At 38.0% G+C, this 13,911-nt stretch overlaps 2 long non-coding RNA genes across 3 annotated transcripts in view; one reads left to right on the forward strand and one right to left on the reverse strand.

Moving 5' to 3' along the window:
• The window catches only part of LOC107986195 (uncharacterized), a 496,338-nt gene that overhangs the window by 281,571 nt on the left and 200,856 nt on the right, over window positions 1-13,911 (forward strand). The window lies entirely within an intron of this gene.
• LOC105377481 (uncharacterized) overlaps window positions 1-13,911 on the reverse strand; it is a 51,454-nt gene that overhangs the window by 34,248 nt on the left and 3,295 nt on the right. The window contains exons 3-6 of one of the 2 annotated variants that reach the window (XR_007058322.1): window positions 13,227-13,315; window positions 6,593-6,664; window positions 2,753-2,875; window positions 2,201-2,257 (exon numbers count right to left, since the gene is read on the reverse strand). This is a non-coding gene — a long non-coding RNA (uncharacterized LOC105377481). The other variant, XR_001741437.2, reaches the window with a different exon arrangement.

The raw sequence follows: 13,911 nt of genomic DNA on the forward strand, positions 1-13,911 counted from the left end.
CAGGGTGAACAGACAACCTACAGAATGGGAGAAAATTTTTGCAATCTACCCATCTGACAAAGGGCTAATATCCAGAATCTACAAAGAACTTAAAGAAATTTACAAGAAAAAATCAAACAACCCATCAAAAATTGGGCGAAGGATATGAACAGACACTACTCAAAATAAGACATTTGTGCAGCCAACAGACACATGAAAAAATACTCATCATCACTGGCCATCAGAGAAATGCAAATCAAAACCACAATGAGATACCATCTCACACCAGTTAGAATGGCGATCATTAAAAAGTCAGGAAACAGCAGGTGCTGGAGAGGATGTGGAGAAATAGGAACACTTTTACACTGTTGGTGGGACTGTAAACTAGTTCGACCATTGTGGAAGACAGTGTGGCGATTCTTCAAGGATGTAGAACCAGAAATACCATTTGACCCAGCCATCCCATTACTGAGTATATACCCAAAGGATTATAAATCATGCTGCTATAAAGACACATGCACACATACATTTATTGTGGCACTATTCACAATAGGAAAGACTTGGAACCAACCCAAATGTCCATCAATGATAGACTGGATTAAGAAAATGTGGCACATATACACCATGGAATACTATGCAGCCATAAAAAATGATGAGTTCATATCTTTTGTAGGGACATGGATGAAGCTAGAAACCATCATTCTGAGCAAACTATCACAAGGAGAGAAAACCAAACACCACATGTTCTCAATCATAGGTCGGAATTGAACAATGAGAACACTTGCACACAGGAAGGGGAACATCACACACCGGGGCCTGTAATGCGGTGGGGGGAGGTGAGAGGGATAGCATTAGGTGATATACCTAGTGTAAATGACGAGTTAATGGGTGCAGCACACCAACAAGGCACATGTATACATATGCAACAAACCTGCACGTTGTGCACATGTACCCTAGAACTTAAAGTATCATAAAAATAATAATAATAAAATAAAAAATAAAAAAATAAAAGGGATCCCAGAGTGCTCTCATTCTCTTTCTGTCATGTTAGGGTCCAATAACAAATGGAAAGTCTGCAGCCCAGCAGAGTGTCCTCACCAGAACTTGACGATGCTGACACCCTGACCCTGGACTTCCCATCCTCCATAAGTATAAGAAATAAATTTCTGTTGTTTATAAACCACCCAGTGTATGATATATTGTTATAGCCATTTTGACCGACTAAAACAGTAGTATTCACTGTTTACCAGATAATATTCACCAGACAAATACACACTAAATGTATTTATAAATTTATTTAAATGTATCATTTCTTTTCTTGAGTATAATAAGTTTCTTAAGGGCAAAAAGCCTCTTTTATCTGTCTTATTCATAATACAGCATACAATACCAGCTCCAGAGAAGGCACTCAATATTTGCTGGAGAAGAATGGTAGGCAGGTAGGAAGGCAGGAAGGAAGGAAGCAAGAGAGGGAGAAATGAAGGGGAAGGAATGAAAGTGAGAGGGTGGGGAGAGATTTGTCTCTTATAAACAGGAATGTAACTTTTTGAAAGGGCCATGTTTTTGTGTAAAAAGAAACTGAACATTCATTGCAAAATTGTAGATGCTCAAACATTCATTCATTTATTCAACAGGCATTTGTTAAGTTCCTCCTCTTCTGCCTCCATGAGGGATTTTGCTTTCTATTTGCCTCATCATATCAAAGTTTTGGAAAATAACAGTTTCTTCTCACCAAGTTTTGGGGGATATTTGTTGACTATGTTATCCATCTCTATATATGCATTAAAAAATGAATGTCTCTCTCCTCTAGTATTCTTATCATGAAACATATTTTTAATTATGACCCCAAATTAGAATTTCTAAATCATATTCTAAAGATTAAGAATACATATTATATATATATATATTATATTTATATACACACAGGATTACATATATAAAATCTTTCATAGAAGACAATTTTGAAATATATGTATGTATATGTGATTATTCATGGATATACATGGATAAGAAAAGCCTCAAAATAATCTTAATTCTTCTGTGATGACAAATACCTACTTTTTCAGTGCCAAACAATAGCTGTTTACAACTATACTGAAATATATTTACAATGGATGTATATTTCTATCTAAGTGGGCTGGTAGTCTGTGTTCATTCATTCTACATATTTTTTCTTCCTCTCTGGCCATTGCACAAACTTAGCAAAACAGCATATATTTACCTTTCTCTTTAATGTCATCTGTTATCAAGGTGGTGATAGGCTTGCCAGTCAATCTGCCTGTAAAAAGTGATCAGAGATAACATAAATTGCTCCGAAAATATTTCTACCAAACCTGTATACAATGTCATATCAGTGAGGGTACTCTCAACAGAAAGTAATGGAAAATTCAGGGGCCAGGCTCAATGGTTCACAGCTATAACCTCAGCAACTCAGGAGGCTGAAGCAGAAGGATCGCTTGAGCCCAGGAGTTTAAGACTAGCCTGGGCAACATAGCGAGATCCAGTCTACACAAAAAATAAAAAATTAGCTGGTGTGGTAGCACGTACCTATAAGTCCTAGCTACTTGGGAGGCTGAGGCTGGAGGATTGATCCCTTGAGCCTAGGAGTTCAAGGTTACGGTGAGCTATGAGCTGTGATCACACCATTGTACTCCAGACTGGGCAACAGAGCAAGACTTTGTATCAAAGAAGGAAAGAAGAAAGGAAAGAGGGAAAGAAGAAAGGAAGGAAGGAGGGAAGGAAGGAAGGAAAAAAATTCATAAAAGTGGCTTACACATTATGGCTGATTAGTTTAGTGCTCAGTGATGGTTCTTCTGTCTTTCTTCTCCATGTACATTTCTTCCATCCTAGCCAGACCGGCTATCTCCTCTCCATGTTGCTGAAGCTCTATCACGTCCTATTCATCAATGTCAGAGGAAGATAAATAACAATTTCTTCCTTTGGCATTATTTTTAGAATATTAAAAATGAATAATATTTTCTCTGAACTCCTTTAACACTATTTGTGTTTACTATTAGTTTATTTCTCCCACAGTTACAATCTGGGGCTCCAGAGACACTTGTGTTTTGTTCACTGCAGTTTCCCTAGCACCTAGTTCCTGCTGTGTAGTAGGTGCTCAGTAAATACTTGTAGAATGAATAACTGAATATATATCTTAATGGCCAAAACTGGGTTGTGTGCCCTTTCGCCAAGCCAATCGTGGACAAGGAAGATGAGACCCTTATGATTGTGACCTTTCAGAGTCTATTTGAGTTGAATGGAAAAGTATGAATTCCCATTCATACCCCAGAATGAATTTGAGCCATGGCAACATAAAAAAGAAGCATGTGACTGTTAGGTTGACAATACACATGGTGTGCTATAAATGTCAGGGTTAGCAATTTTGCATGGGAGCAGAAGTCACCATTTGCAGTAGGTTTTGAGTAAAGTAGGGTTAATAAAGAAAAAAAGAGGCAATCATGAGCTAAAAAGTAATAAAAGCTTTTCCCAGCCTAGGAAAGAAATAAAACAACATTGGACATGGTAACATTGGACAATCATGCAGCTTGAGATTGTCCAATTATTTTGTGTCTTTATGTACTCTATCTACTTAAGGCTTTATACATGCCTAATGTAGTGTTAGTTATTTAATTAAGTTTCTTGGTAGAACTTGATTTTGCTTATCTCATTTTTTGAATATTTTGAGGAATGCTCAATCATGCCATTAGAAAATATTATCCAAAGTTGCTTGGGGGAAATGAACTGTCTCATATGTTTTATTTTTTTTTTTGTACACATTAAAATTTATCTTTCTAGACTTAGGCATGGAGATCCTGTAATAAACTGTTTACTTCCTTATTCTGCCACCCACTGCATTTGCTACAGCTTGCTATTAGAGACATTAGAGACTCGTATTTTGTACATATTTGGACAATTAGCCAATAGGCTTAGGTTTGATGGTTGAATTGATTAATTAGTCCTTTACCAAATGGCATGTCATTGACCTTGTATTTCTCTTTCTTGTTGTTTCTACCATGAAAACTTTTGCTAAATACATTTCTGCAAAATGATAGTCAGGACTTCAGCAATGGCCAGATAGATTGCTTTATTAAACAAAGGAAAAAAGAATAGATTTTCACCTTTTGAAATCTGTAGTTCTGTGTAGATTTTTGTTTTGTTTCAAACAAGAGATCCTGTAAATAATCAGTCCTGGAATCTTGTTCATGTTTGCTAAATAAGCCTAGACCCAAATTTTGCAAAATTTACCCTTTTCACCTTTTTGAACCTGAATCCTGTATTTTTCTGTTTTCTATTATCATGATTTATTTCGTTCTCCAGATTTCCTCAAAGGCTTCAAATATGAGTCAACAGTCTTATCCGGCATTTTTAAAGAACTTTCGGAAAGATCTCAAACATATTTTGAAGGGCTAATTCTCCCTTACTTTGGCCTTTTGGGCCTTTTGGCCAAAATTCTGCTTTTGACAATCTGAGGATTATATTAACTGGCAACTAAAAAGCCAACGGAAGTTGAGTAGTTCTAGTCTCATTATCACATATTAATAGAGTTCCATCACTCCAATCTGCACACTTATTCCATGAACTTTCAGAATAAAATGAACAATATCCCATAGTGATGAGATACACAGGCTTTAGAGTGTGCCTGCCTGGATTTGAGCCCTGGCTCTGCCACTTATTAGCAGTGTGATCTCATTGAGCCTTCATGATGGCGGTAATAATAGCATTGACTTCATAACACTATTGTGGAAGTTACATGAGATAATGTCTCAAAGACACTTAGCATAGTGCTGGGCACATTGTAGTTGCTCAAAAATTGTAGCTAAACTATTTTGCTAAAGAAAAAAAGAGAAAGAGATGGTATAGAAGTGAGAAAAATTACACTTTGAGGGGATATTTTCTACATACGGTAGAAATGCAGTAATTCTAGGAGATTAAATATATGCAGTCAGTGATCAAGGTGTTAAGTGCACGTGGCATTGCAAGTTGGCTACTTTTGTAGATGACTCTTGCTAAGATCTCATGACAACGGATGACTATAGCAATTTAGAGGGTGTGTAACTTCTAAAGAGCCAGAAAACTTAATCAAACTTATCTGAGCTTTGACCTTCACTTTCTGTAAGCACTTGGGAAGCGTAAGAAGGTTTTTTTGTTTTCTTTTTCTTCTGAGTCTTACCTCAGATGCCCTTTGGTGTGTCTTACATTTCAGGCACTACCCTCTGAGAGATTCATTTTCTCCTCCCATGTGTCCCTCCCTTTATAAACAAGAACTGTATATCCTAGCCTGCATCTAAATGGGCTCTCTCCTTGTTGAGAATATATTAAGATCCATTGATCTTCAGGACCTGGAAGTCATCTGTAGCCCCCTGAATGAAAAGCCATGCTGTGTTTTGTGCCTCTGTAGGACCTGCCCCACTGTGAGCCCCACAGCTTAACCTTGGAAGTAGACAGCGAAGGATTTTTCTAGTCTCAGACTGTGGATGTGTCTGACATGTTGGGTAAACAGTGAAAGTAAGCATGTTATAATAATATATGTACAAGCTGTTTTACTGCAGCACTATCTGTGATACAGACTAAATGTTTGTCAGAGAGTAGTCAAATTATGGCACATCCGTGAGATGGGATAGTAGGTAGACATTAAAATGAATGAGAAATATCTATATACAGTAACACAAAAATTTCCATAACTATTGTTGGGTGGAAAAAAAACAAATTGTGGAATATTAGGTATAGTTGATCCTGTTCTTTTGTATGCAAACATATGTATATGTGCAAAAAGGTCTGCAAGTCTAGTAATTGAACTATTAACAGTGATAACCCCGGAGCAATGGGAAGTGGGGGCATATCAGGATAGAAACTTTTACTTTTATTTAACACATGTCTATAATGTTTGAATGATTCACGGTGAACCAGAATTCTTATGATAATTAGAAAAATAAAACTTATCTTCAAGTAAAAGCTTTTTCCACTTTAGCCACATTAATTGCCAGTTATTTTAAAATTATTTTTAGAAATGAAAAATCAGAAAATATTTCACATCCACCCCTCCTTCCATCCATAATACTGGAATCTGGTGATAAAAATTAAAGTAATGGCCCTGGAATCATTCAATTTGATCCCAATTTGCACTTTAAGATACAAGATTAAAATAGTAATTTAATAATTTAAAAATTGATGTTGTCAATTCTACATATATTAAAGAAAATTTTTTTTAATTAGGGGAAAAATCTTTTCTTATACAATTTCTGTACTGAAGGCTTAAAGGGATATTTGTTTGAGGGAAAATAGCTCAGAAACCAATTGGATAAAACAAAGGACAAATCTACAAGAAGTAATTGGATATTGGGATAGTGTATGGAAAAACCTAGTGCCTGGCGTATCAGTGCTGAGCTTAGGAAAGCTTTGTTGTTGTTATTTTAATAAACTTAACCACAGATTGCCTAAGGTCACAAGACACGGGATATTTTAAGTGTCAGTTTCGGAATGTGTATGTGTGAATTAGATAAGGGGATGGAAAGAGGCTCAAAGGGAGAAGGAGAGAAAGAAAGAGAAGGAGAGCTAGAAGGAGATGTGGATGGGTAAGAACCAGAGCGAGCTATGGAGAGAGAAATGTCCTTACTTCTCAGAGTTGACTCCTGCTCCTGCCCCTGGATTCGGCTTCAAGGTTAGAGAAAGTTAACTCTGAGAAAACCTAGAATGTGAAAAATGACTTTTAAAAATTATCAAAGATAAAAATTTTGAGGGAAAAGGAAAATGAATTTATTTACTGATCAGCTTACTTAACTTACTTATTTACTTGAGATGGGGTATCACTCTGTCATCCAGGCTGGAGTGCAGTGGTGAGATCACGGCTCACTTGCAACCTCAAGTACCGTGACTCAAGCCATGCTCCCACCTCAGACTCCTGAGTAGCTGGGACTACAGGCACCACCATGCCCAGCTAATTTTTCTTTTTTTAAATTTTCATTTTGTAGAGATGGGGGTCTTCCTATGTTGCCCAAGCTTATTCATTTATTTTTAATTGAAGATAAAATAACAGAAAAGTATCTTCATTCTACAGCCTCAAAGAATCAGAGAGATGGAAGAGCACTGGTAGGTTTTCAAATCCAAACTTCCATCCATTAAAAACTGCTTCCATAATATTTTTGGTCATCACATTTCTGTTTAAGAATTACTTGAGGCCGGGCGCAGTGGCTCACGCCTGTAATCCCAGCACTTTGGGAAGCCGAGGTGGGTGGATCACAAGGTCACGAGTTTGAGACCAGCCTGGCCAACATGGTGAAACCCCGTCTCTACTAAAGATACAAAAATTAGCTGGGCGTGATGGTGCGCGCCTGTAATCCCAGCTGCTCAGGAGGCTGAGGCAGGAGAATCACTTCAACTCGGGAGGCGGAGCTTGCAGTGAGCCGAGATCGTGCCACTGCACTCCAGCCTGGGTGACAGAGCAAGACTCTGTCTCAAAAAAAAAAAAAAAAAAAAAAAAAAAAAAAAAAAAAAAAGATTTACTTGAAGCAGGGAGCTCATTTTTAAAAATTTTTATTTTTAGACAGAATGTTGCAGGGCATACCATGGACTTGCCCTGGAGAAAGAATTGTGCGTTTTCCAATCTCTGACATCAACTAGCAGAATGAATTCTGGCAAATCATTTAAACTCTCGAAGCTTTATTTTTCTCATCTGTAGCCTGTTTTACTAAGCAGTTAGGTTCAGAGGCTACCACAGTCCTGTATACCTTTAAAAGACAATGTGAAGTCCAGTTCTGTGGTTTCATTTGGGGTAGAAATGTAGTAAAACACAGCCAGCATAAGTTTTAGAGTGAGTAAACCTGGGTGTGAATATTGACTTACATTTTCTGGTTGGGTGACCTTGGACAAATCACCTGATCTACCATTTTAATTTCCCATATCTTTAAATTAGGGGTAATAATACCTACCTTGGAGACTTGTTCTGGGTGTTTAAGGAAATCATGCTTTTGAAAGATTTAGCATTGTATTGGGCACATGGTAGACATGCAACAAATATTAATTTTCTCTTCTCCTACTTCCATTTAAAACAGGATTAAAATGTGGATTCAATTGAAGCAAAAGTGCATTTTTACTAGATTTGGGAAAAACTCTTAAAATACAGATTTAATGACTGGCATTAAGTGGGTATATTTTGTTAAAAGGCATTTGGACAATGCTGCCGGGATCCAGAAACACTAGATTACATTGGTAATTCTTCTTATCATTATTTCAATATAGAACATTTAAAATATATAGTTGTGCTAAAACATGAACTTATGTAAAGTCTTTACCATTGTCTTTTGAAAGTATCCTTCTCTATGAGCCTCTCTTTCACTGAAGTTCTTGAGAAAAGAAATTCTTAATTCATCTCTGTGCCCCCAGCACAAAGGCATGGTGCCAGGCATATGGTAGGCATCATTAAATATTTTATTATTCTAATCATATTCTAAATGCTATTAGAATAGACTTTACAATTTTAAAAACTTTAGGAAGAATAAGTAATTACCCTATACCGAAACCCATTAACAGAACGTAGAAATTATCATTTTTTTTTCTTTTTCTTTTTTTTTTTTTTTTTTTTGAGACGGCGTCTCGCTCTGTCGTCCGGGCTAGAGCGTAGTGGCGCAATCTCAGCTCACTGCAAGCTCCGCCTCCCAGGTTCACGCCATTCTCCTGCCTCAGCCTCCAGAGTGTAGGCGCCCGCCACCACGCCCGGCTAATTTTTTGTATTTTTAGTAGAGACGGGGTTTCACCGTGTTAGCCAGGATAGTCTCAATCTTCTGACCTCGTGATCTGCCCGCCTCGGCCTCCCAAAGTGCTGGGATTACAGGTGTGAGCCACTGTGCCCAGCCACAAATTATTATTTCAGATCAGGAATGTGGAGTCCAGCAAGATCACTAGATTTGCCAAAGCTCAAAAAAATACATCCTAACAAAGTGAAACCTGGTGGCTCAGCAACCAACCAGGCCACTCAACTTTTCTTCTCTTCAAGGTCCTCGTAATTCAGCATAGAACACCAAAAATTTACACAAGGAAATAAAGGAATTCAAATGCAGGCTACATAAGGAATTAATACAGCTCTAGGTGTACTATAAATAAAGAGACCAAGCAAACACGAATTACGCAGGAGTGGCAAGGGAGGACTAGAAGAAAGAAAAGCATTTGAGATGACCGTTTTGCAAACTAAACTACAAAACAGAGTGAATTGAGCAAAAGAATAAGAAAAAGCCACTCAGAAACACATAGAAGGAGAAAGGAAGATAGGAAAAAGTGTAACAGAGGAAAGGACTCAGTGCTTTTGGAGAAGCAAAAGAGTATATGGGGTGAAATGTTAAGGTGGCATTTGTGTCCCATGCAACCTTCCTGGGAACCTCCTCCAGAGTTATACCGCACTATACTGAGCACGGAATTCATTCAGAGATTCCAGACCTCTGAGATATATGCTTTCGTACCCATGTCACATTTGTACATTGCTTGTCAAAATTCTTCCATAGGGTTGTGATGAATGAGAATGTAGAGCTAAATATAAATAACCGCATAACACTGCTCATTACATTAAAAAGGAATTTCAGTGCAACATTCAAAACCAAAGGAACTACATTGGCAAATTAAAAAAAAAATCTGTAAAATTAGGAAATTTGGCTGCCTTAAAGAAAAATGATAAAAATTAACTTTCTGTGAATTTCCGTATTTCCGTGGGACCAGGCTGACAACTATATCTTTTGTGGACACATGGCCAAATTAATTCCTTGGTAAGCAATCTTTAAATCCTCATTGAGAAAGAAATAAATTCCTAATCATCGAGAAAGAAGAAATAAATGTGGGAAGTAATAAGTTTGGGGGTAATTACCACTTTTTTCATATTAAAAGATTTCAAGATTATCCAGATGTTTGCACAGTTCCCCAGAGAAAACTGAAGGCCATTTCCTGTCAGGATGGAAGGAATTATGTAGTGTATATGCAACATTTATTCTGTCATTAAAAAAAAAATCTCATAAGTTTATTCAAATAACAATGAAACGTTATTAATTCTTGGAAGATAGGAGAAGCCACTTGGGGCCTTTTGTAGTTAATTTATTCCACACAGAAGACTCCATTCAGGATTTACCTGACTTCTCTGTGTAGCCCTTTCATGTCTCTCAGGGCAACTTTATCTAGATGGGACTTCAGTTGATCTAATCCAACTGGTCTACACCAACAGTGTGGAGGGTTTGATTCAGATACAAACTGGAGCCCTCTGTTAGAGCAGTTCGATGAAGTCAGAAGGAAAATGAGGTGACATACAAAGAATGAAACTCAAATTTCACCACAAATTTTAACTGCTTTAAAGAAGTTTAGACAATAACTTTATTTTGCAAGCCTATCTTTATGCTTGTTTTTAAGCACTGCTTCCAACAATGTATTTGGAATAGTTGTAAAGGCTGTCGCATGACCCCTTTTCCCTCCTCACCTCATTAGATTTTAATGAAGTGATAATAGGAGGAAAAGATTGCACTCCAGTTTGAGGCAGAAGGTTCTTCAAGAACCCTGCCTCAGTGAGGACTGGAATTTGAATAGAAGAGTGAAATTAAAGAAACGTGAGCTGCATATTTCTATGGAGAGAGTGTAAGTCTCCCAGATTTAACACAACTGTAATACATTTTTTTACATTTACATCGAACATTTTATAGCTTATTTGTTACAGTTTTGAAAATCTATTCTCATAATTTCTGTGGTTTGATCTGATATAAGAATGTAATGTTGGAAAAGATAATATTAAAAGAAAGATAGAGGCCAGGCACAGTGGCTGAAGCCTGTAATGCCAGCACTTTGGGAGGCCGAGGGAGGTGGATCTCTTAAGCCCAGGAGTTCATGATCAGCCTGGGCAACATGGCGAGACCCTATCTCTACAAAAAATCCAAAAATTAGCTAGGAGTGGTGATGCACGCCTAAGGTCGCAGCTACTTGGGAAGCTGAGGTGAGAGGATCACTGAACCCAGGGGTCAAGGCCGCAGTAAGCTATGATGGCACCACTGCACTCTAGCCTGGCAGACAGAGCGAGACCCTGTCTCAAAAAAAGAAGTGTTAAAATCCAAGCAAGTATATGGACACAGTCTCAGGAGATTGTGAGGTAACTTGATTCTGCTCACACAGCTCAGGGTTTGTGGAGCTCATCTAGCACCTCGTTGATGCCTGGCATAGGGGTATGTTTGCTCTCTTGCTTATTTAGAGAAAGGTTCCATACAGAGTGGTATTTTCTAAAATTCTCTACATGGTGCCCTGCACATAGTAATAATTATTGAAAGAGTGACATGATTAGAGAGAGCTGGGTGATAGAAAGTATGTGGACTTCCCTGGAAGAAAACAGATGGGGCATGGTGTGGTAGAGGTGTGGGGGGATAGCCCTTATGGACCATTTAACAAAGTCATCATTGAAATGGGAGAGTTCCCTGACCCCCCTTGCAGCACATGCGACAGGGGTGTGGCTTGTGTGTGGCCGCCATGTGCTCAAACCCCTTATGGGAGGAGGAGCATGCAGATGGGCAGGTGCAGGAGCCAGGGCAAGTTCTTTTTGGGCTCTGGCCCCATGGTTGTGTCTAGGGGTGCATGTCTGTGACTCCTGAAGCCTAGGTGGGGACCGGTTACAGTGTGCTATTTTAGCCTTGCTGTCCACAGACAGCTTAAGTGTTAGACAGCTCAGTGGACCCTCTTGGTACCCAAGTCCTTGTCTGGCATCCAGAAAAAATTAGGTCATACATGGACTTGAAGGATGAATGTAGGGGTTTTATTGAGTGGTGGAGGTGGCTCTCAGCAGGATGGATGGGGAGCTGGAAGGGGGATGGAGTAGGAAGATGATCTTCCCCTGGAGTTTGGCTGTCCCACAGCCGATCCCCTCTCTTATCACCCCCAGCTGAATTCCTCTCAACATTCAAACGTTCCTTCTCTTCTCTCTGCCGCACTATTCTGCTGGTCTTTTGCTTTTCTGTTTGTCTCCTCATCTTCTTCGGGAGCCTGGGGTCTGGGGTTTATATGAGTACAGGAAGGGGGTGTGGCAGGCCAAAAGGCAACTTTTGGGTGTGAAAACAAGAATGCCTATTCTTATTCAGGGCTGTGGGATTCCAGGCTTGAGGATGGGGCCTTTGCTGGAGAACCGCCCTTCTACCCAGTATTTCCCTGTCTCTTGTCCATGTCAACATTATTTAAGTTCTTGCCTTGAGTGAGGGCCAGTTTTGCAGTCCAGATAGTTAGGATGTTTATTGCATTTGGTGCTTGTAAAAGTGCTGTGAAATAAGTATTGTACCTTCATTTTAAAGATGAGGAAAGAGGGTAAATAGGTGTCTCTGAGACTCTAGGGCAGGCATCTCTGGCATGAAAACCTAAGCTCTGTCTCCTGAGACCTAGAATTTCCCTCAAAGAGATTGACTTCAGCAGAGTAAAAGGAATTTAATGAGAAAATAGAGAAAAGTACTAGAAATGCCTACGTGCCCAATATATCCACTCCTCACTGAGCATAATTCCTGCCCCCAAACTATGGTATTAGTAAGTTTCCTTCTTGTATTCCACTTTGGAATTTGATGGAGAAGGAGAAAGTGTAAGAATAGAAATGCACCCAATTTACAAGTGGGAGAAAAGGATAAAAGCTGAAAATGACTGAAGCCTTTCCCTATGTCAGTGAGCAAGTGGGAAGGATTAAAGGAAGGATTTCTGGTCTGTGGTTTCTGTCACTTTTAAAACAAGTAGCAATACTATTCTTCTCATTTATAAATAATATAAATAAGGTGTGACACTAGAAAAGTCACATTAATGACATTTCAAGAATACCTCCATCCCCTTGGAGACACATTGGTTTGAAACAATATATGTCTTGATTGCACAAAATAAGTTCAGTGCCTTCAGATATGTAAATATTTGTACTTGAAGTAAAAATAAAAGAAAAAGAAAATGGAGGGAATTGTATGTAAAGTCAACTGAATTCTTAAAAATATAAGATGTTTTAATCTATATTTGTGTTCTCCTATAAATTCTGTGGGGGGGGGAAGGTGGTCCCTGGAAAAAAAAACAGTAAAACCAAATCATTTACGGTTTACCTAATGTTGACCCACTTCACAAAATAGTAGCTTCTAAAAATAGTACATGGAAGTTATACGCATTTCAGATTGAATAAAATTGTAGAATGATTCCACCAGCACTTGACCCCACAAACCTTAATTTCCCATAGAGTTGGCTTTCCATACCTTCCCATTTTTCCTTTCCTGCCTCTGGTTGCTTACCTGCCCCTCCTCTGTTTCCAGGGCCTGGGGTCTGGGTTTGTCTTGGCATTGTGTGGCAGAGGTCAAAGGGCATCAGAATTGAGAGAATTCTACATGAATAAACCATGATGCTATGTCAGTACAAACTTAGTTGCAATATTATTTCAGTGTGAATATAATTTTTATATATTTATGAATCAAGCAACACACAACATCATACTAGTTTTATTTTTATTACTTATTATTTCTCATTCCCAAGACCTGGATCCATCAATGCAGTGTTAATGTTTATGCTAACTTTAAAACTAACCTGTGGAATATACCTATAGAGTTGTAAAATTATTTTCTAAGAAATGATTTAATCATGGGAAGAGAGAATAATGTTTTGTTCCTTATTTTAGTGCTGTTTTTCAAAGAACTGTGTAGTAGATTTGGTATTCTATGTTTGCTATGTAGATTACTAAATAACATTTTTAACTAAATACAACTTTGGGATATCTGTATACTTTTACATTATCATATATCATATAGTTTTAGTTATTCTTTTATTTTATGGCTTCCCTAAAAGCAAAAGGTATATGTGAATAATTAAAGATATATGAAATGATTATAACTTTAATTTAATTTTTAAGTTACTGAAAACGAAGTACACTGTAGGGCCAAAATAAATATTGTCCCTATGATTCCCATTTGATGTGTTAAATGA

The sequence above is a fragment of the Homo sapiens genome, chromosome 4, assembly GCF_000001405.40.
Source record: "Homo sapiens chromosome 4, GRCh38.p14 Primary Assembly".
Lineage (NCBI taxonomy): Eukaryota > Metazoa > Chordata > Mammalia > Primates > Hominidae > Homo > Homo sapiens.